Below are 24,739 nucleotides of genomic sequence, written 5' to 3'. Positions count from 1 at the left end.
ACTGGGCAAAATAGCAAGACCCCCATCTTTACAAGAAAAAAAATAGCCAGATGTGGTGACGTGCACCTGTAGTCCCAGCTACTGGGGAGACTGATGCAGGAGGATCACATGAGCCTAGGAGTTTGAGGTTACAGGGAACTTTGATCACACCATTGCACTCTAGCCTGGGTGAGAGAGCACGACTTTGCATCTTTTTTTTTTTTTAAAGGAATCTTTGATTCCCAGTCCTGCTAACCTATCCAGTATCACACTTAAGGTCCAGTGCATCAACTAGGCCATAACTACCATATATGAAATTGGATTTTTTTCTTTTGAGACAGGGTCTTGCTCTTTTGCCCAGGTTGGAGTGCAGTGACGTGAACACAGCCTCCTGGGCTCTAGCGATCCTCCTGCCTCAGCCTCCCAAGTAGCTGGGATTACAGGTGTGCTATCACCATGCCAGGCTAATTTAAAAAAAAAATTTTTTTTTGTAGAAGCAGGGCCTCACTATTTGACCAGGCTGGTCTTGAACTCCTGGGCTCAAGTGATCCTTCTACCTCAGTCTCTCAAAGTGTTGGGATTATAGGTGTGAGCCACTGCATCTGGCCTTGAAATTGTTAGAAATATTTTCAACTTTCAAGCAACCGATTATAATTAGTTATTGGATATTTATGTGCCAAGCACTGTGCTAATCACTGTACGTGTGTTGTTGCATTACAAGAACACTGTGAAGGAGATAGGCCCATTTTACAGATGAATAAACTGAGGTTAACTTCTCTGAGATCATACAGTTAGTAGGCAGTGGCGCTGGGACCGAAACCCAGGTCCGCATCCCTATTGTGAGGCATGATTACGCGTGTTTGAACATGCCTATTTCTTCAGTTAGGGACTGGGCATCACGAGGCCTTTTCCATCCCGTTTTTTATCGCTCCCTCTTTCTTCCATCACTAGACATTTGCTTATTCTTTTTGAAAGCAATTTTTTTCCTGAGCATTTCTGATTTCTTAAGGTGAGTTGAAGTGGAAGCATATTCACATTATTTTGCAAATGAGCACTTGGTAAATATTCACTGATTCTATAAATTATTAGCCACTGCTGTGACCATGATGAGAAGTCTCACAAATTGGATTAGTGATTGCATTTTGAACTTTTTTTAATCTTCTTTTTTCAGTGAGCCATTTCTGTTTAAAATTTTGTTTATTTCTTTCTGAAAGGAAGAAGATTTCTCTCCCCATGTCAGCTGTAGTCTGCCTCTGGCTTCGGCACCTTCCCAGCCTTGAAAAAGCAATGCTGCATCTTTTTGAAAAGCTAATCTCCAGTGAGAGAAATTGTCTGAGAAGGATCGAATGCTTTATAAAAGATTCATCGCTGGTACGTACTGGGTTTTGATGAAGGGAAAAATCCTTGAAGGAGATGCTTGGAATCATTTCTTTTAGTCAGAGAATGAAAGGGGGGGATGTAAACAAAAGAGCAATTGGAACCTTTATATATAATCGTGTATTTACATTTTATTTTTGAAATCACTAACATAGGGGGCTTTTCTGCATCCTTGGAGCATGCAGGGAGAGATCTGAGGTTTACTTGATTGATATGCCGTATATCACATGTTCACAAGAATTGACATTTGCACAACAGACTTTTTAAAAACAGTATTTCTTATTTCAGCATGGAAAATAAGTTTTTGGAAATGAACATATGGGTAAGAGGAAGAATCAATTAAAAACATTCAAAAAATAAACTTGTAGCTCTTCACTAGAGGAAAGATGAAATAAGAGACACAAAACCCCAGAAAAATGGTTAAAGCAGCAGAACCAGCTAAGACTTCTGTAAGTTTTCTTTTGGTGTGAGGCCACCTGCCTTCACCCTCCCCTGCGCGGTGGCGCCTGGCTCCCTTCCCGCTCAGGACTGTGCAGCTGGGGACTCCAGCCCACGTGGACATCCACCTCCTGGCCCAGTGTCTGGCACCCTGGGCTCTCAGTGGCCCTCGCCACCACTGACTCGCCAGTCATATTCCTTTGTGGGAGGCAGCTCTGTGGGATTGGAGCACATTTTGTAAGGACAGGAATAAAGACCAAGGCACCCTGAAAAAATGATTCAGAAACCTGCAGGTGCCATGGTCCCGCAGCCTCTGTCTTCCAGGAGCTCCAGTGAACTCTGCCCTTTTTCCCTTTAGCTTTCGTAATCTGCAGGGATGTGGCACAGAGATTGCCTTCCACTTCTTCCTGCTTCCTGCAAGTGGAGAAAGTGAGTTCCAAGAGCCACAGTGAACGGTCCGGTCTTTAGTTAGTGGCCGGGACACTGGGAAGGAGGGAGTGTTCACCCTCGCCCTTGAGCTGAGACTGAGGAAGTCCCTGAGGTTGGCTGTGCCCACTTTTCCTGAGCTCATAGAACCCCTACCTCCTAGAGGCCTTCAACTTGTTTAGTTCAGTTGGGACTTCTGTGTTCTTTCTTTCTCTTTCTAGTTGGAGACTGTCTAAGGGAATCCTAATGGAATCAGTTGCCTTCCTCCGCGATCCCGTTTCTCCCCTTGTTTCATGGCCCCTTTCACCCTTCCCCTTGGCCTCCCAGGGCGATGTGCATAGGGTTGCAGGTGCTGACAGCCACGCTGCTCTCACCTGTACCTCAGGCTGCACACACGGATCCCACCTGACTTGAAAGTTTACCACGATAGAAGAGAAAGGAAGACGTGTATATTAAGACTGAGAGAGCCCAAACAGATTTCTTAAGGATAATTACTACCTAACCTTACCATCCGGAAGAGTCATATATTAAGGCAAGAAATAGGAATGCACCTTATTTTAAAATGGTTGCAGTACAATTCAAAATAAATCATGACTTTCAGAAGCCCTCTGACAGCCCATTCCTGGTGATTCAAGGTCATAAATTACCTTTATTGTCTGCTAAATCTATTACTAACTTACATGTGCATACTAGGATTTCAGTTTCTCTGGTCCCTTTTCAGTGGCAAAATGATAGTAACTGGGCTATATGCTTGCTTCCAGGGTGCTTATGACATTTTCCTTAAGTCTTCTCCCTATTGAAAAATTCTAGTCCCATTGCCTTTTTTCCAGCCTTTCCTTAATCCTTGGATTCTTCCCTGAACCTTCTCCATGTCCTTTTTGCCTGTGGCCCTCATGCCTGAGCAGCACTGTGGTGAGCACAGCAGATGCAAGACAGAGAACGCAGGCCGTCCCATTGCACATAACTGTATAATGCTCAGTCTCCAGTTTGTAGTTTACAGTAATCTCCCACGAGTCACACAGCTTTGAAGTCAGTTGACTTACAAAAGCTTTTATCGGGATCATGTGTGCAGAAATTCAGAGCTTCCATTATGGCTAAAGGGGGATTCTAGAGGGTGTTATTTGGTTTAATTTATTGTGGCATTGGCAGGATGTGACCTCTCTGTGCCTCATGGTTCAAGGACGTAATTACAATACAGACGATGGCTGGAAGCCCCTGATTGGTGTGGGCTGTTCTCCTCAGCATCCTGGGCCTGCAGTGCCAGAAAGCCAGGCAGGCCGCAATAGGCCTGTGACGTGGCTAAGTGATTGCAGGGGTAACCTGAAGAGCCTGCTTCCTAATTGCATCATCTGATTCATTTATCGCAGTGCAGTATCTTGGTGCAGTGACAGGACTGTACAGAAGTATCAGAGAGATCTCTAAGACTCAGATAGCACGAGACTGCTGCGCTGTGCTCCAGAGGAAACCTGATGCCTATTACATTAGAGTTGGATTCTGAGAGTAATTAAAGTGTGATGGTCTACATAACTTGTGTTTTATATAGAGCACTGTTAATTATATTTCTCTCTCTTGGGACTATGCAGAATGAGTCCTGGAAATTCTATAGTTACCAAAATGTAACAAAAACAAAAGATAAAAGTGTGGTACAGGTTGTACAAAGTGAAATGACCTTCCCAAATGTTCTTTGGCCTCTTGGACTCGCAGGTCTGATATTTTCCATTAAGACCATGAATAATGAGGGATTAGTCTCTTATTACCTGAGTTCCAAATGACTATGTATGTATTTAACATCTAAAATAAAAGAAAAGTTTTCAAAACCCGTTCACTTTTGAGGCTTCCCCTTTGGCTTCCGTGCGGTGGACTGGACTGCTGTCGAGTCATGCTGTCTGCCACGGTTGGTAGCTCCTACATCAAGTGAGGTATTAGCCCTAGATTGTCATTTACTGTACAGACTGAAACTTTTCAAAAGCAGATGGTCTTGTGTTTTCCTTGACAGCATGGGCACGGGAAGACCATAATCCATAGCTTCAGACCTGACCTTAAAAACCGATGTCACCGACAGCAGTGAAAGCCACTTGTTAATTATGCAGCCTTCTTGGCATTGTTCGGTTTCCCAAGGCTGGCCCCAAATTAGAAGGATGTTATGTTTTCCAGTTACAATTTTGTTTGTGGAGCCCAGAAAGCTATTCTTTGGATTCCACATTGGAATGAAAAGTGTCTGCAGGGTGTCAGGGTGGCACTGTGCTTGGCTGGCAAGCTGCATGCCAGGGCCGGAAGGTACCCGATTCTCATGCCCTCCCATTTGCTGGCAGAGCCCGCCCGCAGCTGGGTCCAGAGGAGCTAGCCTCACCTTCCCAGGCAGACTTGTCCCCAAAAGAAAGGAGCAGAGGAGGCGCCCAGGAGGCAGAGTTGTTTCTGCTAAGATTTGATATCAGAATATGCTTCATTTTCTCTCCTACCTAAAAATCTTTATGGCTTAATTCAAAAGATTACTTTATCTAATAAGAACTTAAGAATAAAAAGCATCTAGATACCTCAGTATCCTCCTCAATATGGGATAGGTTGTGTTTTTTTCCCTCATTCTCCAGGTAGCAATTGTAGCACTTCAGAAAGAAAAAGAAACTTCCTTTACACAGACTCCCAGTATGCAGCTCCTCCTTGGTAAAATATTGTGCTGAAGAGTTCACTCTACATCCTGGGTGATATTGTCAGTTTGCTGTGCTTAAGTAGCTTTTCACTAACATGCCAGGGTTTTCTTTTCCTGCTTTTTCAGTCTTTTCGGCACTTCCTTTTGAGCTCTTTAATGTGGTGCATGTAATTGAACAAGAGCTGAAGTAGATAATTTAGCAGTAGTCCAGTAGTGCTGGCTGATGTGTATGGCTAAAAGCTGGGAGGTTCTGCATCTTGGACTGGAGTTGCACTTTCCAGAATTAGCCTCAGGGGGGCACCAGATCCTCCAGCATAGTCTCTGTGAAGAAAGAGGCCCACGTTGCGAGTTTCCTTGCAATGGAATTGCAGTTGGGGATGCAGACCTTGTGGCCAGAGATGAAGGGAGAGAGGGAAAAACCCAAAAACAAAGCAGGGGTGGACGTAGGGGTCATTGCCACTCAGGCTGAGCTGTGAAGCAGCAGGGGGCTGAGGAGCTTTCTTCCAGCTTGGGCTACCCGGGCTAATTGGATAGAGGCCACTGGGCAAGGCTAGAAGGACTTCAGGCAGGGGAGGGGGTGCTGGGGATCCTCTGTGTCCAAACACAGAGAAGAGCACATGTAAATTTAAGACGCAAAAGTACATTTGGTACTTGTTAAGTTCTTAAGCCCAGGAATGACAGATTTATCACTAATTAAACAATAATTGCATTATGGAGTACTGAAAAAATTGTTTGTGTATAAACAACATCTGGTAAAGATTAAAAAGAAAGAATAATTTTTCCGAGCTCAAATTTGTTAAAAGGAACCTGAATGTTTTAAAACAAAATAGATCTGAAAATGTAAAAGGGATATTTAGAGTCTTATGTTTAGTATTTTGAAAATAGAAAAGAAGCAAATGGCATAATAAAAAATACATATTTATAAAGGTGCCTCATTGTACATGATAGATGTGAAGGTTTTGTATAAATAGGTTTTTCTCAAGCCAAATCATTTTTCACTTCAATAGAGGAGTTCACTGGTGAAATGACTCTTATGGAGAATCTTCTTTTTAAGAAGAAAGGTATTTTGTAGTGAATATGCACATATTAACAACAAGGGCTTCCCACTGTGGAGAGAACAGTGGCTCGGAAACAGCTACACGGTGGGACGGGATTGTCCGGCTGCTGGGTAAACTGGAGGGGAAGCTGCCCATCAGCTGATTCTTTAAATGACCCATTTCCTAAGTAAATATTTAAGCTACATGCAAGTACATGAAAATACCAGGAAAGAATCTATTCCAGGCTTAATGAACTTCAGCTTCTCTGTCATCTGCTATTTCCTTCTTTATTTTTAAGGCGAATATATCTATGAAAGGTGATAGATGGAAAGCACTTGATAATTTTTTCTGTTCCTTCACTGCCTTTTTATTTTTTCTAAAAGGGATTTGCTTTTGTCTGTGAGTTACCTTAAATCATAGTATAATTTCCCTTTTTGGTTTGTTTTCTGTCCCTCTCCTTTTCCCTATTCTCTCTCTCTCTCTCTCTCTCTCACACACACACACACACAGAATCAGCAAATGACAGAAAGAAATGCTTCTTCCTGAGAATTCTGTTCTTCTTGTTCTCAGGCCTCTTTCAAGTGGCAAGTGGCTTGTAATAATCATTGGTGAGTTGGTATGAAAATAACAGCTTAAGTAAACATCAAGGACCGGGCACAAGAGCCTGTGTAATTTGCACAGTTCATGGTGCAGAGTGACAAGTTGGCCTCTCCCTTGCCTCTCTTCCAAAACAGGCACTGAGACCATGGTTATTGTGTGTTGATTCCATGTTGACTTTGTCTTCCCTTGTGTTTTGAGGGATGAAGATGGGCTTTCTTTCTAGGTGGAGGGGAGATAAACAATGCAATTCTGGGTAGCCATGAGGGGAGATCAGAGGGAAAGCTCTTGTTAGCCCAAGGGGATGCACACCCAGCAGAACAATCGGGTCTATACAAGAGGGAGGGCAGAACCCAGAGCTCTCCATCTTCGCTCCCTAGTCATCCTGGGCATTCAGTGAAAAGCCTGAGGGGGGAGATAAGGAGGGAAGGACAAGACTCATGTTATTGAAGACCTCCTGCTGACATAGCTCCCCTCGAGTTGAAATGATCTGCCTGTGGAAATTGTTAGGCCAGATGGAGAAGAGAGAGCTTGAGAAGGAACAGATTTTGGTAGGATGGAGAAAAACAAACAGATGGAAACCACAAAAGGTTTATTTTATTTCCCCGCTTTTATAGAAAAGATAATGGCCGCAGTCATGGGGCTTCAGAGCCCTGGCTTGCAGCGTGACCTCTGGTGTGTTACCGGAGTGCCCCACCTTACAAATAAAACAGGATCAGAGGTTAGATGCCTGCGTCATCACTCATGAAGATGCTACAGAGATTTAGGGGGGAAGATACGGCTTCCAAAGAAGCGTGTATTAAAACCTTAATTCTATTTGGAAGATTATCTTGATAAGAAAAGCAGCTTAAGATTGCTTTTGTGATTTGATGTCGCTGGGACATATGCCTGACCTGTAGTACTCTAGTCCTCATGAGGGGACTCACTGACCCTGAAATTATGTGCTCAAAAAGTATAAAGAGTGTCATTTTAAAAGCCATCGGTGAGGGGTGCAGATGAGAAGGAGCAGTTCACAGCTGTAGGGGTAGCAAGGGAGACTGGTTTTCTTTTTTTTCAGTGAGGTCAGGAGATCGAGACCATCCTGGCCAACACGGTGAAACCCCATCTCTACTAAAAATACAAAAATTAGCCAGGTGTGGTGGCACGTGCCTGTAATCCCAGCTACTCAGGAGGCTAAGGCAGGAGAATCTTTTGAACCCAGGAGTTGGAGGTTGCAGTGAGCCAAGATCACCACTGCACTCCAGCCTGGCAACAGAATGAGACCCTGTCTCAAAAAAAAAAAAAAGGAGACTGGTTTTCAAATCAAAATCTCTGCCGTTGCTGTTTCTGCAGGTTCCCCTGCCTCCTGGCCTCTTACCTGTTTTAAAAGCTAAAATGGGTTGTGGAAGCAGGCTGAGAGTAGCCAAGGGTCTGAAATATTTGGAAAGAAAGAAATCTAAGAGGAGAGTCCATCTGTATGGGGAAGAACAAGCAGATTCCACACAGCCAGCAGGCATTTAAAACATTGGATTGAGCGATTTTGCTAGAAAACAGCGCACAGAAGAGGAGCAGATCTAAGCTCTCACTCTCTTCTAACAAACTGAGTAAGAGCTGTCTTCCTTGCTCCCCCAGTGGTTTTCATAGTAGCCCTAATCTACATCTGATCATCATTTTCTTTGCTGTTTGGAAATCCCTATAATTAGTATTGAATGATTCTCTACTAGCATCAAACCTATAGAATGGCTCTGGGATAGTTTGACCATTTAGAAAAAAGAAATTTAATTTTACCATTTTCAAGTTTCATCTTACTTTCTATCAACGCATTTCCAAGCTCTTATCTGTCTGCCTGTGGGCACATAACAGTGCTATTTGATCTTAAACACTCTTATTCAATAGGCATGTTGTTGTACAAACTTTGAAAATTGCTCTGGCAAACTTAGATGAATCACATTTCTTCAAGACATACGGTTGCTTTTCCCTTGTTTTATTTTTTCATTATGAATACATAGAAACTTTTATATTTTCCGTGCTTATATCCGGTGACCTCTTAATAACTTTTATTATTTACAGTGAGACTGGGCATCAGGAGATTAACTGACATGCCTAAGTTCGAAGCCACGAAATAACCTGCCTCTCCTCTCTTGAACGGTGGTCCTGCCAAATTATTTTCTTGCATAGATAATGAATTTATCTGTAAGAATATCAAGTTGGTTCCTTTTAGATAAAAATGCACATCAGTGAAGGATGAGGGAGCATAGATTATTTAAAGAGTAGGACATTTTAACTTGCAAATTAGAAATCTTGAAATAATTAAAAGGAGATTTATCCTGTCCTGAAAAAGTGGCAGAGCTCCTGCCTGGAGCCCGGCGGGTCCAGCAGTGCTGACCAGTGGACGCTAGATGGCGCGGGCTCAATGTCATCGGGGAGGCCGCGAGGAGGCGCGGTCCTGCCTCAGTGTGATCCAGGGCACGGCCGGAGCAGAGCGCCTCCTTTTTTCTTGCCGACGGGGGCCTGTGAACAGTGTTTCCCAAAGCTAGTCATATCAAATGCACTCTGACTTGAATTTCCAATAGCGCCTGATCCACTAACATGTGAATGCTGCTGTGAAGCAGGGGTCCCCGCCCCCTGGGCGCACAGCGGAGAGGAGCCCCTAGCCTTCCCGCCCGCACCTGCCCCTGTCAGAGCCCCGCGCTTCGCTTCCCACGGAACCAGAGCCCCATCCTGACTGCGCATGCCTGGAATCGGGTTGTCCTCTGATGATCTGAGGAGCAACCGTTTCATCCCAAAACCATCTCCCCCTCCCGGTCTGTGGAAACATTGCCTTCCAAGAAACCGGTACCTGGTGCCGAGAAAGTTACGGACCCTGCTATAAAGGATCTGTTTTGGAACACAAATGGGCATTTTCATCTGGCATCATCTCATACTTTGAGCTCTGGCCAAAAAGATAGGGAACCAGGGACTGGGCCAGTGAAGCTCCCCCCAGCTCCCAGGGCTACCGGAGGCCAGCTTCTGCAGACTCAAATAATCAGAACCCATCACCGAAATATTCAAGGAGAAATTAGATAACTTTTATTCTTCTTCATGAACCCCCTTTTCATCTTAACGCAAGCTGTTAAGTGCATTAAGATGTGATGTGATTTAGTCCAGCGTGGTAGTGGTCACTGGTTTGCCAATAATAATTCTAAATTGTTATGTACCCATTACCGAATAAACAGGCTGCAGGCACGGGCCTGACCTCGAGGCACATCTAGCCATTTGAGGAGGTCACACAGGCACACTTCAGTAGAACTGGCAGTACAGGCAGGCTCCACGGCATGCGGGCAGAGGGATGTTTAAAGTTTCTCTAATACTTACTGATTCTGTATTATGGATCGCCTGAGCTTTTATAGAAAATGTGGGACATACAGGAGTATACAGAGGAATAAGCTGCCTGTAACCCCTGCCCAGGGAGACCACCGTATGCACTTGTATGTGGGGCGTTTTCAGTACAGCAGTGGTTCGTTCTTCTAACCAAAAGGAGTATGCCAGTTTTCTGGACATCAGCAGTTCCCAGTAACTCCTTTGGCTGATAATAGCAAGTTTCTGAGAAAGTGCTTGTGATATTTCACATTCTCATGGTCTTCTCCTTTTACAGCCTCAAGCAGCCTGCCACCCTGCCATATTCCGGGTTGTTGATGAGATGTTCAGGTAAACGTTACACTGTTTCTTCTAGTAATTGATGTAAAAAAGGTTCCATTTCCAAGCATGAATCAGAAAATGTTGTGGTAGTCTCTGGCTGTATCATGGGGAAATTAGAGTTTCTGATTCCCTCCTGTTCCTCTGAGCTTTTTGGTAATTAGAGGTAAAAACTCAAAAATCAGTGTAAATTTAAAGGCCAGTGCCTAAGAATTAAGATAACTTTATTTTCTTTAGCCTTTTAAGATTCTAATAATAGAAACACAGAATTGAGTTAGGCATTAATATCATGAAATATTCATGTAGGATTTTTCTCAGCTCAGAATAAAGGGTAGCAATATACTCCCTTCACCATGTGAGGGCTGACCAATATTTTTAAAAGACTTTAAAGCTAAAGAAAGCCAAGAAAAATAAAAGTCATTCTTAACAGAACTCTTCTGAAAGGCAAAATACACCATGCATGTTCTCTTACAACACATTACATTTTTATTTTGAAAATATGAGTACTTCTTGGGAAATGCATTAGATTTACAGACGGCAAGAGACGAGGAGCTCACAGCCATGAAGCTGAGATGTGGCTGGCAGTTAGTGGGAGTTTTAACCATGGAGTACTAAGTTAGTGGGAGTACTAACCATGGAGTACTAAGACTGGACGCCCCTGGGGAGCTTGTCACCTGGGAGTGTCCCAGCCCCTCTTCCAGGGGAGCCCATATCAGCTCTCTCTCTAGCCCCTCCCACCTAACACACAGCAGCAGAGGCTGCAGGGCAGACTGCAGACTTTGGGGAAAGGAATTTTTACTGTGACAATAACTCACCAGTAGTCAGAACAGTGTTGGGGGTTTAAAGCTAGCAAAATTTGAGAGTTTTTTTGTTTGTTTTGTTTTGTTTTGCTTAAACAAACATAAAGAAAAATTAATTGTACAATAATGCATGGAAGCGAAACCAGGTACACACACATTATTTTCCTACTTTGCTGGGTGGATGGACGAGGCCATTTTACCCTTTGAGCAGCTTCGTCTCCACTTGTGAAAGCAAAATGTTGATGTTGCGTGTCCAGGCATACAATACAAAAATATTTGTACAGAGTATGCAAGCCTGTGTGGAAGGGATTTGCATTGCTTAATAATTTAAGAACCAAGAAAGAGAGCTCTGCACGTTGCAATTTTAAAGAAAATATAACAGGGAGCGACAAATTTATCCTGTTTTCACACAAGGACTGAAATCTGATGAGTTGAGATACTGCTGAAGCTTATGGCACAAAAAAAGTGTTTCTACTTTTCCCTTATACAGTGCAGGTTTTCATGTTTGCCGGATTACTTGTTAAACGTGTTCTGATCTGACTTTGCATTGTTCAGGTGTGCACTCCTGGAAACCGATGGGGCCCTGGAAATCATAGCCACTATTCAGGTGTTTACGCAGTGCTTTGTAGAAGCTCTGGAGAAAGCAAGCAAGCAGGTTTGTTATATCACATATATTACTCATTCATCCCAGAGAATAAGACGCTGTTGAGAGTATTTTGGACAAGAGCACTTTATTTTCAATAATTTTGATGGACTGTTTTGCTCACAAAGAAAGGTTCCTAATGAGTGCCCCAACAAAGGTTAAGCCATTTTAACTTAACATAAATCAAGATCTGTCTGCCCCGTGCCCTGATACCCAGAAGCATCTGTCTACTATTATGTCTGAGAACTCTGTCATGCCAGCATGCATGGCCCTGGAGGACGGCTCTTCTTGGCCCTGTGTTGTGCACTGTCTGCCGAGCAGGACACTGCCCCCTGGCTGCATCTGAGCCTCCCAGGTCAGCAGGAGGCACCCTGGGGTCTATATGGCATGTGATGAATAGGAAAGGGCACTTATTACAAAGCACTCCTGGACATTCTTAATTATTAGCATCTTCATTCTTATCAGAGACCCAAATGTGAATTGGCTTCCAGGAAAGGAGGTGGTAAGAGTGACTGGGAAAGGCTTGACTAACTAGAAGGGGAGTGAGGAAGGGCAGTGAGCGGGAGGTGTGTGTTAGACACAGTCAGTAAACCAAAGGCCAGGCCCGCACCCTGCAGAAGATTGTGCTCCACGTCCCCAGCAGCAGAGGCTGGGCAACAGCTGCCAAGAGTCAATGACCAATTAGAGGGACCTCGTGAAACAGGGACCTTTGCTACCAGCGAGCTTTCACCTTTCAGCATATATATTTGGCCTTGATTTCTAACGGCCACAGAAGTAATGTTTATGGGACACATTGCCTGTCGAGAGTGGTGCTGGTCCAGTGCATCTCATCTGTAGAGTATGTCACGGCCCCTGTGAAGCTCTCCGCAGTTTGACTTCCGAGAGGAGAACTACAATGCTTGGCTCCACCAGATCACACCCCCCGCCAACGTCAAATAGATCTCTCAGGTTTTAGCCGATATTTCTACTTTTTTTTTTTTTTTTTTTTTTTTTTGAGACAAGGTTTTACTCTGTCACCCAGGCTGGAGTGCAGTGATGTGATCTCAGTTTACTGCAGTCTCAACCCCCCAAGCTCAGGTGATCCTCACACTTCAGCCCCTGCGTGTAGCTGGGACCACAGGTGCATGTCACCACTCATGGCTACTTTTTGTATTTTTTAATTAAGTACAATTTCCATTTTATTTTTCTCAAGAGAATAGTCCGTCTTCAGACTTTAAGGACTCAACTCCTTACGTGGGCTTTGGTGGGGGTTGTGGGGCAGCATCCGCAGGTCTAAATTGGAGTAGGGGTGTTCAGTCCTTGTGGGCTTCACAAGATCGATTCCTGACTACTTTGCTGTGAATTGCACAACTCAGACAGTAATGTAGCTTCAAATACAGCTTGGGAAGCACATAGGCATCAAAGACGCTCGCTTCAGAAATGTCCCTGACTGCTGCAGCCTCCACTGTGTTTCCAATGATGAATTTGTTAATAGCCTTGTCCTTGGGCACACATTGGGCACAGTTCGTGTCGCAAATAGGCTGCACGTGGCCGCGGCCCTTTTTGGTACGACCGTTGTTCCTTCTTTTTTTCATCATATTGGAGGCACGGACTGGAGGAAGCACTAATTTTTGTATTTTTATTAGAGATGGGGTTTCACCATGTTGCCCGGGCTGGTCTCAACCTCTGAGGCTCAAGCAATCTTCCCACCTTGGCCTCCCAAAGTGCTGGGGTTACAGGTGTGAGCCACCACACCCAGCCTGTTTCTGCTTTTTAAAGCAACAATAAATATATTTTTATTTTATTTTATTTTTTGAGACAGGCTCTTACTCTGCCACCAAGGCTGGAGTGCAGTGGTATGATCATGGCTCACTGCAGCCTTTGGCTTCGTGGGCTCAAGCGATCCCCCCACCTCAGCCTCCCAAGTAGTTGGGACCACAGGTTCAAGCCACCACGCCCAGCTAATTTTTAAATTTTTTTTTGTAGAGATAGAGTCTCTCTGTTGCTCAGGCTGGTCTCAAACAGCTGGGTTCAAGGGATCCTCCCACCTTGCCCTCCCAAGGTGCTTGGATTCCAGGCTTGAGCCACTGTGCCTGGCCAACAGTAAATATTTGTGATTTATTTTTTCCCACCCTCACTTTCCCTGGAGAAGTTAGCTGGGCTGTAGCAAGCTGCGCTATCCATGGTCCCACCTAGAATTTTGGAGGTGGCTCGGCTGGAAGGCACAGCTGGCCCTCACGGTTATTTTGAGCCTAACTGTAAATGTCTCTGAGCCTCCCTTGTGCATTCTTTGTAGACCCCATTAGGAACGGGCCTCTGGGGAGTCTCACCTGTGGCCTCGCGGAGCACACCTGGGTTGGAGCAGAGGCCACGGAGGAGTGCCACTGTGCTCTTTAGGGTTAGCTCGCGCCTCTTTTTCTTCTTAGCTTCACCCTCAGCCTCTATGTTGGCCGTGGGCACTATGGATTGGGACTGATGTTGCAGTTGCTTTTAATTGAGACTAGTACCCTGACCAGGCATACGTATCTAAGGACGTGGGACCACACACTGGGTCCTGGTGTGAGGCAAGGCAGGGATCCAAAAACAAACAGGAATTCACCACCCTCGCCTTCAGCTCAACAAAGGAAAGGAAAGTCTCTTTGCTTTGCCAATGCCTGCATAGGTATCTGTTAGTTTATTTCTCTTCCTAGAGCTGGACCTGAGTGCCTGTCTTTTTAACTGATGGCCATCTACATCTTTTGACCCTCTGCCTTCTTGACTGTCCATTTTTAGCTAATCAAAACCCTTCATGTCATATTTGGTAGATGCGTGACCCTCTTTTCTCTCTGTGTTTTATTCATTAATTCCTTCTTAATAAAATGAGTATCTGTAAACCTGATATCTAATAATCTGAATATATGTCTATCCACGTGCTCCTCCCTGCCTCTCTCCCTCCAGGTAACCTCTGGTTTGAATTTTATGTGCCAGGCGTGGTGGCTCACACCTGTAATCCCAGCACTTTGGGAGGTCGAGGCAGGCAGATCACAAGGTCAGGAGATCGAGACCATCCTGGCTAACACGGTGAAACCCTGTCTCTACTAAAAATACAAAAAAATTCGCCGGGCATGGTGGTGGGCGCTTATAGTCCCAGCTACTCAGGAGGCTGAGGCAGGATAATGGCATGAACCCGGGAGGCGGAGCTTGCAGTGAGCTGAGATTGCGCCACTGCACTCCAGCCTGGGCGACAGAGCGAGACTCCATCTCAAAAAAAAAAAAAAAAATGAATTTTATGTTTATTATCCCTTTGCTCTTTCTGAAAGTAGTTTGATCACATATATATGACTGCCTAAACAATGTTTTGTTTAGTTTTGGTTGTTTTTGCACTATATAAAACAAACAGGAGCAGCATACTCTGTGCAATCTTTTGAGACTTGCTTTTCCACTCAGCAGAGACTTCTTGACGTTGCCATGTGTGGCTGTGGGGAAGTACTGTTATGCATAGTCCATTGTGAAAACGTATGGCAGTGTAGCCATCCTCCTGCTGGTAGGCACTTGAGATGCTTCCAGGTTTTGTTTTTTATTACAAACAATGTTGCTCTGGACACTCTGGGATAGATACTTAGGAGTGGAAGTGTATTTGGAATACAAAAGTTCAACTTTCATAGATCCTGCCAGACTCATTTCAAAAGTGTTGGTGCTCATCTGCACTTCCTGCAACAGTTTATGAGTGATCCCATAAATCCACATTCTCTCCTATCATCAGAAGCACTCATGTCAGTGCTTCTGTCTCTTCTTACCCTTTCCTCTTGTCCCTGTTCTGTTTGGAGGACACAGTCAGCTCCATCAATATGCCCTATCAGACAGTAGGCAGAAATTGAAATGGGTGTGACAAGCCACTTTTTCTAAGCCTGCACTGTGGCTCAGTACAGCCAGTCAGGTCAGTTTCTGGTTGCAGCCATGACAGCATCTGGTAATGAGCTAGATTAAATCATCTCCCACAGATAAAAATGATAAACTCCAGGCAAAGTATTTTTAAAAATCTATTTGAAGGCACTACAGAGCACCTGAAAAAGTGGACAGAAACTGGAGGCCATCAGCCCTTTAAAGGGACATCACACAGAGAGGTCTCCTGCCTCCCCCCAGCTGCCCTCATGTGAGGTTGGAAGGCAGGCAGTGTGGGGCCAGGAGAGGGCCAGAACTTGGCACAATCTGATTGACTTAAGGTGCCAAAAAATAGAAGTGTAAGCTGCCAAAGGAACAAAAAAATTGAGGGGAAAAAAGAAAACCAATGTCAAAAGATAGACCTAAACCCAAAACTACCAACAATGACATTAATTTCAGCAATTAAATGGAAGTTAAATATTCTAATAAAAAGGCAGAAACGTCAGATTGAACAAAAAAAATGAAGACCTGGCTGGGCACGGCGGCTCATGCCTGTAATCCCAGCACTTTAGGAGGCCAAGGTGGGAGGATTGCTTGAGTCCAGGAGTTGAGTTCAAGACCAGCCTGGGCAACATAGTGGGACCCCAGTCTCTACAAAAAAGTAAATAAATAAAAAATTAGCTGGGCATGGTGATGCATGCCTGTAGTCCCGGCTACTCGGGGGGTGAAGTGGGAGGATTGCTTGAGCCCAGAACGTGGAGGCTGCAGTGAGCCATGATCACACCACTGCACTCCAGCCTGGAAGACAGGGCGAGATGCTGTCTTAAAAAAAAAAAAAAAAGATTTTAAAAGCCATTGTAATCAAGACAGTGAGGTATTGGCAAAAAGACAGCCATAGATAGATCAGAATTGAGTCCAGATATAGACCCATACATATGTGGCCAACTGATTTTTGACAGAGATGCCAAGACAATTCAATGGGGAAAGGAACGTTTTCAACAAATGATGCTGGAATAACTGGATGTCCATATGTAGAAAAATGAACCTCAAACATTACCTTGTAAAGCACACAACAGTTAATTTGAGAGGATCATGGGCTTCAACAGAAATGTTAGAAAGATAAAGCCCCTAGAGAGAGCATAGGATAATGTATCTGTTTGACACTGAGGTGATCTAAGATTTCTCAGAAGCACTAACCATAGGAAAAAATGGATAAATTAGACCTCATCAGAATTTAAAACTTTTAGGCTGGGGGCATAGCTCACTCCTGTAATCCCAGCTCGTTGGGAGCCCCAAGGCAGGAGGATCTCTTGAGCCCAGGAGATGGAGACCAGCCTGGGCAACAAAGTAAGACCCCTTTTCTACAAAAAATACAAAATTTAGCTGAACGTGGTGGCACACACCTGTTGTCCTAGCTACTCGGGAGGCTGAGGTGGGAGGATCACTTGAGCCTGGGAGATCAAGGCTTCAGTGAGCTGTGATCATGCCACTGCACTCCAGCTTGGGCAACAGAGTGAAACCATATCTCAAAAAATAAGAAAGGAATGTAAAATTTCTATTCTTTGATAGATATCATTAAGAAACTGAAAAAGCAGGCCAGGCACGGTGGCTCATGCCTGTAATCCTAGCACTTTGCAAGGCTGAGGTGGGTGGATCACGAGTTCAAGAGATCAAGACCATCCTGGCCAACATAGTGAAACCCCGTCTCTACTAAAAATACAAAAATTAGCTGGGCATAGTGGCATGTGCCTTTAGTCCCAGCTATTTGGGAGGCTGAGGCAGGAGAATCGCTTGAACCTGGGAGGTGGAGGTTGCAGGGAGCCAAGATCACACCACTGCACTCCAGCTTGGCAACAGAGCAAGACTCCATCTCAATTAAAAAAAAAAAAAAAGAAAAGGAAGAAAGAAGGAACTGAAAAAGCAAGCCGTTAGCTAGGAGAAAATATTTGTAATATATGTATACAACAGAGGACTTGTGTCGAGAATATATGAAGAGCTCTTATAACTGCCTAAGAAACCAGTTTTTAAAATGGACAAAAGACTTGAATATATACTTTCAAAAAAGATACATAAGTTGGCAGTAAGCACATGAAAACTGTTCAGCGTCATTTGCCATCAGGAAAGTGCAGAGTGAAACAGGTAGGAAAGCAAGCATACATAGGGTTATGTTCCCAGCCACTAGAATGGATGAAATGCTGGGGAGTATGTGGAGCAACTGGAATTCACATACATTGCTGGTGGGCGTAAGATGGTACAACACCGGAAAACCATATGGCCTTACGATGTTAAACAAGCATCTATCTGTGACCCAGCAGTTCCATTCCGATGGCATCCCCAGGAGAAACAGAAACACATGTCCATGAAAAGACATATGTATGCATGTTAACTACAGCTTTATTCATGACAGCCCCAAACTGGAAGCAGCCCAAATGCACATCAAGAGGAGAATGGCTAAACAGACTATGGCATATTCATACAATTCAGACTACTTCTGAGCAATAAAAACAGAATGATCTACTCGCACACAATAACGTGGCTTAATCTTTAAGAAAATATGTTGAGCCCAAGAAGCCAGACACAAAAGAAAACATACTTTATGTTCCCTTTACACAAAATTCAAGAATAAGCAAAACTAATCTCTCTTGTCAAAATCAAAACATTGGTTGCCAGGGTGGGGTGGAGGGAATGATTGTTAAGAATTGGAAGGGGACTTTTTGGCGTGATAGAAATGTGTCTTCACTGGGGTGGTGGTCACATGGATTTGCACATTTACCAAAACCTCATATACTTAAAGCCCATGCACTCCATGCGTTATAGATTTTACCTCAATTTTTAAAAAAGCTTCTGTGCCCCTTGGGGGCATAGATAGCTGTAGCTCTTTGGCCCTCGAAATGCGAGCACAGTTTTACACTTTTGTTGTTATTTTAAAAACCATGCTGAGCCAGGCTCAGTGGCTCATGACTATAACCCCAGCACTTTGGGAGGCCGAGGCAGGTGGATCACTTAAGCTAAGGAGTTCAAGACCAGCCTGGCCAACATGGTGAAACCCCATCTCCACTAAAAATGCAAAAATTAGCCAGGTGTGGTGGCATGTGCCTGTAATCCCGGCTACTCAGGAGGCTGAGGCAGGAGAATCATTTGGACCCGGGAGGTGGAGGTTGCAGTGAGCTGAGATTGTGCCTCTGCACTCCAGCCTGCGCAACAGAAGGAGACTCCATCTCAATAAAAAAACAAAAACAAGCCGGGCATGGTGGCTCACTGTAATCCCAGTACTTTGGGAGGCCGAGGCGGCCAGATCACCTGAGGTCGGGAGTTCGAGACCAGCCTGACCAACATGGAGAAACTCTGTCTCTACTAAAAAGTACAAAATTAGTAGTGCTTGGTGGCGCATGCCTGTAATCCCAGATACTTGGGAGACAGGGAGGAGAATCGCTTGAACCCGGGAGCCAGAGGTTGCGGTGAGCTGAGATCGCGCCATTGCACTCCAGCCTGGGCAGCAAGAGCAAAACTCCGTTTCAAAAAAAAAAAAAAAAATGCTGAAATACCTAACATCTCACAACGGCTTTGGCAAGTCTTTCCAAAACAGAAGATTTATTTGTATAATTGGGTTCATGTGAAGTAGAACTCATAAAGACATCAAGAGCATAAATTTTTAAGTCCCAGAAGGTGACTTTAAAAAGGTTAATTATTCTGGAAAATATGAGGTTATTGGGAGCTTATTTTTCAAAAAATAAATGTTTAAGAAAGTGTTCTGACCATGTTAGTACTGGTGGGTCTTTTTTGGGCAGAGGACTCAGAGTTTTGTATTTTCCTGACCCCGTTTCAATCTTAATGTTCATGCTCTTTGGATTTTCCATCCTGTGGCAGCTGCGGTTTGCACTCAAGACCTACTTTCCTTACACTTCTCCATCTCTTGCCATGGTGCTGCTGCAAGACCCTCAAGGTGAGTTAGGGTTGACTTTGCCCACATCAGAATGATTTCCTGGGAAGAGCATTGTCAAATTATGACCTCCTCATCAGGCCCTTATCTACAGCATGAGGGAGACAGAACTGGTTATTTCTAAGATCCCTTTAAGCCCCCAGGATCCCACATTCTGTGGATTTTGATATGAGAGTCTGCTTGGCTTCCCAGTTGTGATCACTTACCAAAAGAAGAAAACAAACAAAAAAACAATGGCCTCTGGTAGGTGTTGCTAGTCTGCCTCCAGATAACACAGGCTCTTCTGGTGCCAACCAGATCCACCAGATGCCAGGAACAGGCTAAGACTTGGCTGAGTCAGAATAAAACAGTACATTCGTTTGCTTTTCATTCTTTCTACTCTGTGCAGCCTTGTTGCAGAAGAAAAGACAAAATGATGGATGAAGCTGAGGAAATGCAGGGGAAGTTTCCCCTAACCAAGCTAAGGGAAGGATTTTGAGAGAGTTCAGTAAGGTGCTTCATCCACAGCCTCTCCTGATATCCTTTGCCAGCCTTCCAAAGGCTATCCAGCTGGGGAAGTGATGGTTCCAGCCTTCATTCGACTGGTGTTGATCCAGGAATGTGGCTGTGAGCTCACGCTTAGGAGACATTTCGGAAATAGAGAATAAGGGCATCCTTTCCCTCTGAGGCCTGAAACCTGATGGAAGGCAGTCCTGACATGGGCACAGACTGCGCCAGCCAGAAAGGGGCCTTATTGGAGCATGGGAGGAGAGGAGACAGAAGGGAACGAGCCAGTCACATTTCCTTTTTATGCCATTTTGGGCCTGCCTTTTTTCTGAGACTTGAGTGAGTAGATCTGTTTGAGAAATGCAAATGATTCAAAGTTTCAGAGCATTTTACAAAACCTAAATTCCTCTTCCTTTTTCGAGAAGATGTAGGTTCTTGCCCAGGGTGATCCCCTAACACTGTCTTCTCAGATGCTGGAGCTAGGGGTGGGATCTCTGGGTGACAGTTTTATGAAAACTCTTGGGAAAACTTTATTAACAAGACAGAAAAATGAGGAATTCACTCTCCCAGGGTTCACCTTACGCTTAGGTCAGATCAGCAAAGCCTAAAGTCAGCCAACAGGGGACGCTGAGTGAGCTCCAGAAAATGTACTGGAGTTGTTAGTGTCTCAGTTTGGAAATAGTAAATAAACGGTGAGGTGGTGCATGGGCATGGGCCCAACCCTTTACCTTTCCGTTTGTGTAACTTGTAGATTTATGTCCAAATATAAATAGGTGGCTTCGGGCAGAAGTACAAGAACCTCTTGTGCTAGTTCCTAGAAGAGCTGTCTGTATATTACTTTGGGAAACAGTGTTATGGTCACAGATTGAAGAAGTGTTTTTTAGTGGCATGATCTTCTGTTTATCAGAAATTTATTTCATACCCATTGTGAAGGCCGGGAGAGGGGTGTAAAAGAGGATCACTTACGAGCCCTGACTGTGTAGACACTACAAGTGGAGGAAATGCGAAATAAACATCTAAATAGCTAGTAAAAGGAAGAAACGAAAAATACCTTCAAAAGGCTGTGCACCAAGGGCCGCGGGAGTTCAGAGGAGGGAGGCGCTGGCCTTGTGGAGTAGCAGCAGTTTGTCCATCACTCGCCTTACCTTCCTTGTGTGTTCGATTATAGCATCTATCACTATGTGAAAACTTTTGCAGATGCTGCACAGAACTGCAGATACGTGCTGCTCAGCTGTATTTAAAACCACAGGATGACTGTGAAACCAGAGCAGCTCACTCAAGAAAAGACATTTGTTTGCATAATGCTCACTTATTTTCTTTCCTGGCCTTTTTTTCCACTGTAAACCTGAAATCATATTGTGAATTCATCACAGCCCTAGGAAAGCAGTCAGGCAGTCTATTCCTAATTCCTTATTGGCTGCTTTACTACAGTCTCCGTCTATTTTGAAATCAACACATTAGTGATGGAGGAGTGTGTAGGTAGAAAAGAAGAAACCTAGGGCATCCGCAACCCGGCATTTCCCAGTCTCAGCGGGGGCTGCTTATGCAATCTCTAGCTACTTCCATGTACCTGAATTTAAAATTACTTGAGGGCAAGCGTGGTGATTAATGCCTGTAATTCCAGCACTTTGGGAGGCCAAGGCGGGAGGATCACTTGAGCCCAGGAATTTGAGACAAGTCTGAGAAACATAGTGAAACCTCATCTCTACAAAAAAATTTTAAAAATAGCTGGGCATGGTGGTGCACCCCTGTAGTCCCAGCTACTGGGGAGGCTGAGGTAGGAAGATCGCTTGAGCCCAGGAGGTTGGGGCTGCAGTGAACCAGGATCGTACCACTGCACTCCAGCCTCTGACCAAGCAAGATCGTGTCTTAAAACCCCACAAAACTAAAATTAAAAGATTAGATTCTTTGATGTTCAACTCTGTGTGACATGGACAGATCTTACTTCCCCAGGCTTAAGAGATAGGTACTGGCTGGGAAAAGCATGAGAACAGTATTGGGTTCCGTGAACCAGAAGTAAAGGGCGTCTCCCAAAGACTCTTCAGGTCATCCCTGCAGGTGGTTCCTCATGGGCTTGACATTTCCTCAGTTGCCCTCTGACGTATCTCTCTCCACCCGCAGATATCCCTCGGGGACACTGGCTCCAGACACTGAAGCATATTTCTGAACTGCTCAGAGAAGCAGTTGAAGACCAGACTCATGGGTGAGCAAACACTGACCACTCCCAAATCTACTTCACACATGGTTTCCCTAGATCCTCATCTGCCCTTTGAGCAGGGCTGACAGAGGAAGGCATTACTGGTCTGGGACCATCACCAAACAGGTGAGCACCATGGTGAAGTGAGAAGTGGAGGAAGCGCATGGCTGCACGGATGGCTTGGAGCAGGTCAGGATGAATAGGCATGCGCATGTATGCATGTGCCAATACCTGTATCGAAATGTTTTCTACATTAACGTCTGGTTTTAGATTTTGAAATATACAGGCATAACAATAAAAAGAAGAGGCCTTGGAAAAAGCAGCACCCACCTGCTGGGAACCCCTCCCTGGCCGCACAGAAGGGAAAGGGCACTTGTTTGGGTCCTGTGGTCTTCCCTCTACCTCTCTAGGGAAGGAGATTTGAAACTCCTACACAGTAGGGTGGAATGTTAAATGCTTGCTTTTCCTTCTCTCTAATAAATCTCTCTAAAATGAGAAAATCTATTCTAATATAAATTCTGGGTTGGTTGGTTTGTTTTAAATTTTTAGAGATAAGGTCTTGCTCTGTCTTTCAGGCTGGAGTGCAGTGGAATGATCACATCTCACTGTAGCCTCAAATTCCTGCGCTTAGGTGATCCTCCCACTCAGACTCCTGAGTAGCTGGGACTACAGGCGTGTACCACCACACCTAGCTAATGTTTAAATTTTTTTGTGGCCGGGCGCGGTGGCTCACACCTGTAATCCCAGCACTTGGGGAGGCTGAGGCAGGCAGATCACAAGGTCAGGAGATCGAGACCATCCTGGCTAACACGGTGAAACACCATCTCTACTAAAAATACAAAAAATTAGCCGGGCGTGGTGGCGGGTGCCTGTAGTCCCAGCTACTCGGGAGGCTGAGGCAGGAGAATGGCATGAACCCAGGAGGTGGAGCTTGCAGTGAGCCAAGATCGTGCCACTGCACTCCAGCCTGGGTGACAGTAAGACTCCGTCTCCAAAAAAAAAAAAAAATTTTTTTTTTTGTAGAGGTCTTGCTGTATTGCTTCAAATTCATGGGCTCAAGTAATCCTCCTGCCTTGGCCTCCCGTCGTGCTGGGATTACAGGTGTGGACCGCTGTGCCTGGCTTGTTAATTTCTTAACAGTAGTGTTAGGTACCCTCTTATGTGTGTGATTTTCTTGAAAGCATTCACATTTATGCCTTGCTAAATTCCTTGTATCATAACACTCTTTGGCTTCCTCTTTCAGAGTATAATTTTATTCATTGTCCCTGCTAGCCTACTAAGACTATCTTATTTGTTCCTTTTGCCACTTTTCACTCCTGGAATTCTCTGTAGTCTCACACCGAGTTGACACAGACAATGGGTGACACACCTATGTCCAGCTCCGTGATTGATGGCTTGGGTGCCAGCTGCTCACTCCTTCCTCACCATGATTCTTACCGACAGAGACCAGACAAAAAAGGCCTGCAGCCAATGGAGGCTGCGGGGTTGGCCACATGAATAGCCTGCAGTGGCCAGTCGGCCCCCCACACACCCTCCCTGGTTGTCCTGGTGTTACACAGAGCTGGACCTTGAAGAATCTTAACTCGGGGACAGGACGTAGATGCAGGTGGCATAAACAGCCCACCCTGTGATTGAGACATGTTGTGCAGTGGGTGCCCTGGGTGTTTTTCTCTTCTCTCTACCCACCCTCTCCACCATCACTCAGAATGTGTGATGTCAAATGCGTGAAGACTGGAATAAAACAGCAACCAGAAAGGGCGCATGTGGTGCTGCAGAACAGGACTTAGACCTCGTGGGGCTCCCACTTCAATCCAGACCTTGGAGCCATGAGATACCTTTCAGGTGGCCACATGGGACTGCTTGTGCATTCAGCTACTGGTGGAAGACAGAGGGAAGGACCAGACCGGTCTCTGATCCTGATCCAGTCACGCTGCCAACCTGGGAGCTGGGAGCATGAGGGAGCCTCACTGCTCTGTGCATCTGTCTACCCTGACATGGTGCCTGCAGGGAAGAGGCATGGCAGAGTCCCCTCCTCACTCTGGTACAGCCTAACCCAGCCCACAGCCAACGTGGCCTCCAGAGCATCAGCTCTGACCATGTCCTGGGAAAGAGGGACATGTCTCTGTTGCTCAAATGTAGAACATTTAACCACTTGTTCTCAGGGAGGACTGGGGCAGGAGGACAGCAGTGTCCAGGGAGGCGAGGACAGTGCTTAGAGCTTGGGAATTCCATGGGCCAGGCAGAGGAACATGCAGGAAGATCCAACAAAGGGGCCAGGAACACTCCTGTTCCAGCCACTGCCCCAGTCCAGAAGGAATGTTCTCATCTAATGTGATCTCAGGCTGGTCTGTTCCATCCTCTCCAAGGGAGATGTTCACCTGCTGAGACCGGCACTGCACACAATTAGTAGGCCCTTATCTCAAGCAAATTCTACCCTTAAAACAAGTATTGCAACTCCCATTTGCCAGTGTGGCGAGGGGATAGCTTCACAAACACTTCAACTTTCTGGCATTGATGCACCCATGATGACAGCAGCTCATTAAAAATTCGTAGTTGCTGAAATATCCACCTGAACTTTGCGTCTTGTCAGAAGGGAAATAGCCCATGTTTCTGCCTGCGTCCTACCCTCCACCTCTTTCTCCCCATCTCAGAAGGCAGGGAGGTGTGCCGCCACATCC

At 45.0% G+C, this 24,739-nt stretch overlaps 2 protein-coding genes and 1 pseudogene across 23 annotated transcripts in view, besides 4 other annotated features; 1 reads left to right on the top strand and 2 right to left on the bottom strand.

Moving 5' to 3' along the window:
* AOPEP (aminopeptidase O (putative)) overlaps positions 1 to 24,739 on the bottom strand; it is a 423,526-nt gene that overhangs the window by 13,529 nt on the left and 385,258 nt on the right. The window lies entirely within an intron of this gene.
* Positions 1 to 24,739, top strand: part of FANCC (FA complementation group C) — a 218,656-nt gene that overhangs the window by 181,014 nt on the left and 12,903 nt on the right. For 20 of the 22 annotated variants that reach the window (XM_006717001.4, NM_000136.3, XM_047422951.1 and 17 more), the window contains 5 exons: positions 1,194 to 1,350; positions 10,115 to 10,167; positions 11,511 to 11,610; positions 19,306 to 19,381; positions 21,986 to 22,067. In XM_006717001.4, the coding sequence (XP_006717064.1) occupies positions 1,194 to 1,350; positions 10,115 to 10,167; positions 11,511 to 11,610; positions 19,306 to 19,381; positions 21,986 to 22,067 (468 nt within the window). The remainder of the gene's footprint in view (positions 1 to 1,193; positions 1,351 to 10,114; positions 10,168 to 11,510; positions 11,611 to 19,305; positions 19,382 to 21,985; positions 22,068 to 24,739) is intronic. The other 2 variants (XM_006717004.4, XM_047422959.1) reach the window with 1 other exon arrangement.
* Positions 4,013 to 4,515: an enhancer, noted in NCBI's record as "H3K4me1 hESC enhancer chr9:97894463-97894965 (GRCh37/hg19 assembly coordinates)". NCBI's record gives its function as "activates a minimal SCP1, AML or CMV promoter by ChIP-STARR-seq in naive H9 embryonic stem cells {active_cell/tissue: H9 hESC(naive)}" and the evidence as "EXISTENCE:reporter gene assay evidence [ECO:0000049][PMID:30033119]".
* Positions 5,035 to 5,329: a silencer, noted in NCBI's record as "tiled region #8238; K562 Repressive DNase unmatched - State 12:CtcfO". NCBI's record gives its function as "represses a minimal TATA promoter and a strong SV40 promoter by Sharpr-MPRA in K562 cells {active_cell/tissue: K562}" and the evidence as "EXISTENCE:reporter gene assay evidence [ECO:0000049][PMID:27701403]".
* Positions 6,475 to 6,769: a silencer, noted in NCBI's record as "tiled region #10736; K562 Repressive non-DNase unmatched - State 23:Low". NCBI's record gives its function as "represses a minimal TATA promoter and a strong SV40 promoter by Sharpr-MPRA in K562 cells {active_cell/tissue: K562}" and the evidence as "EXISTENCE:reporter gene assay evidence [ECO:0000049][PMID:27701403]".
* On the bottom strand, positions 12,758 to 13,195 carry RPS26P37 (ribosomal protein S26 pseudogene 37; annotated as a pseudogene).
* Positions 20,170 to 20,249: a silencer, noted in NCBI's record as "silent region_20063". NCBI's record gives its function as "represses an Ori minimal core promoter by ATAC-STARR-seq in GM12878 lymphoblastoid cells {active_cell/tissue: GM12878}" and the evidence as "EXISTENCE:reporter gene assay evidence [ECO:0000049][PMID:35858748]".

Source organism: Homo sapiens, chromosome 9 (assembly GCF_000001405.40).
Source record: "Homo sapiens chromosome 9, GRCh38.p14 Primary Assembly".
In the NCBI taxonomy this organism is placed as follows: Eukaryota; Metazoa; Chordata; class Mammalia; order Primates; family Hominidae; genus Homo; species Homo sapiens.
Note: the sequence above shows the minus strand (reverse complement) of the source record. Positions and strands in the feature narration are given on the sequence as shown.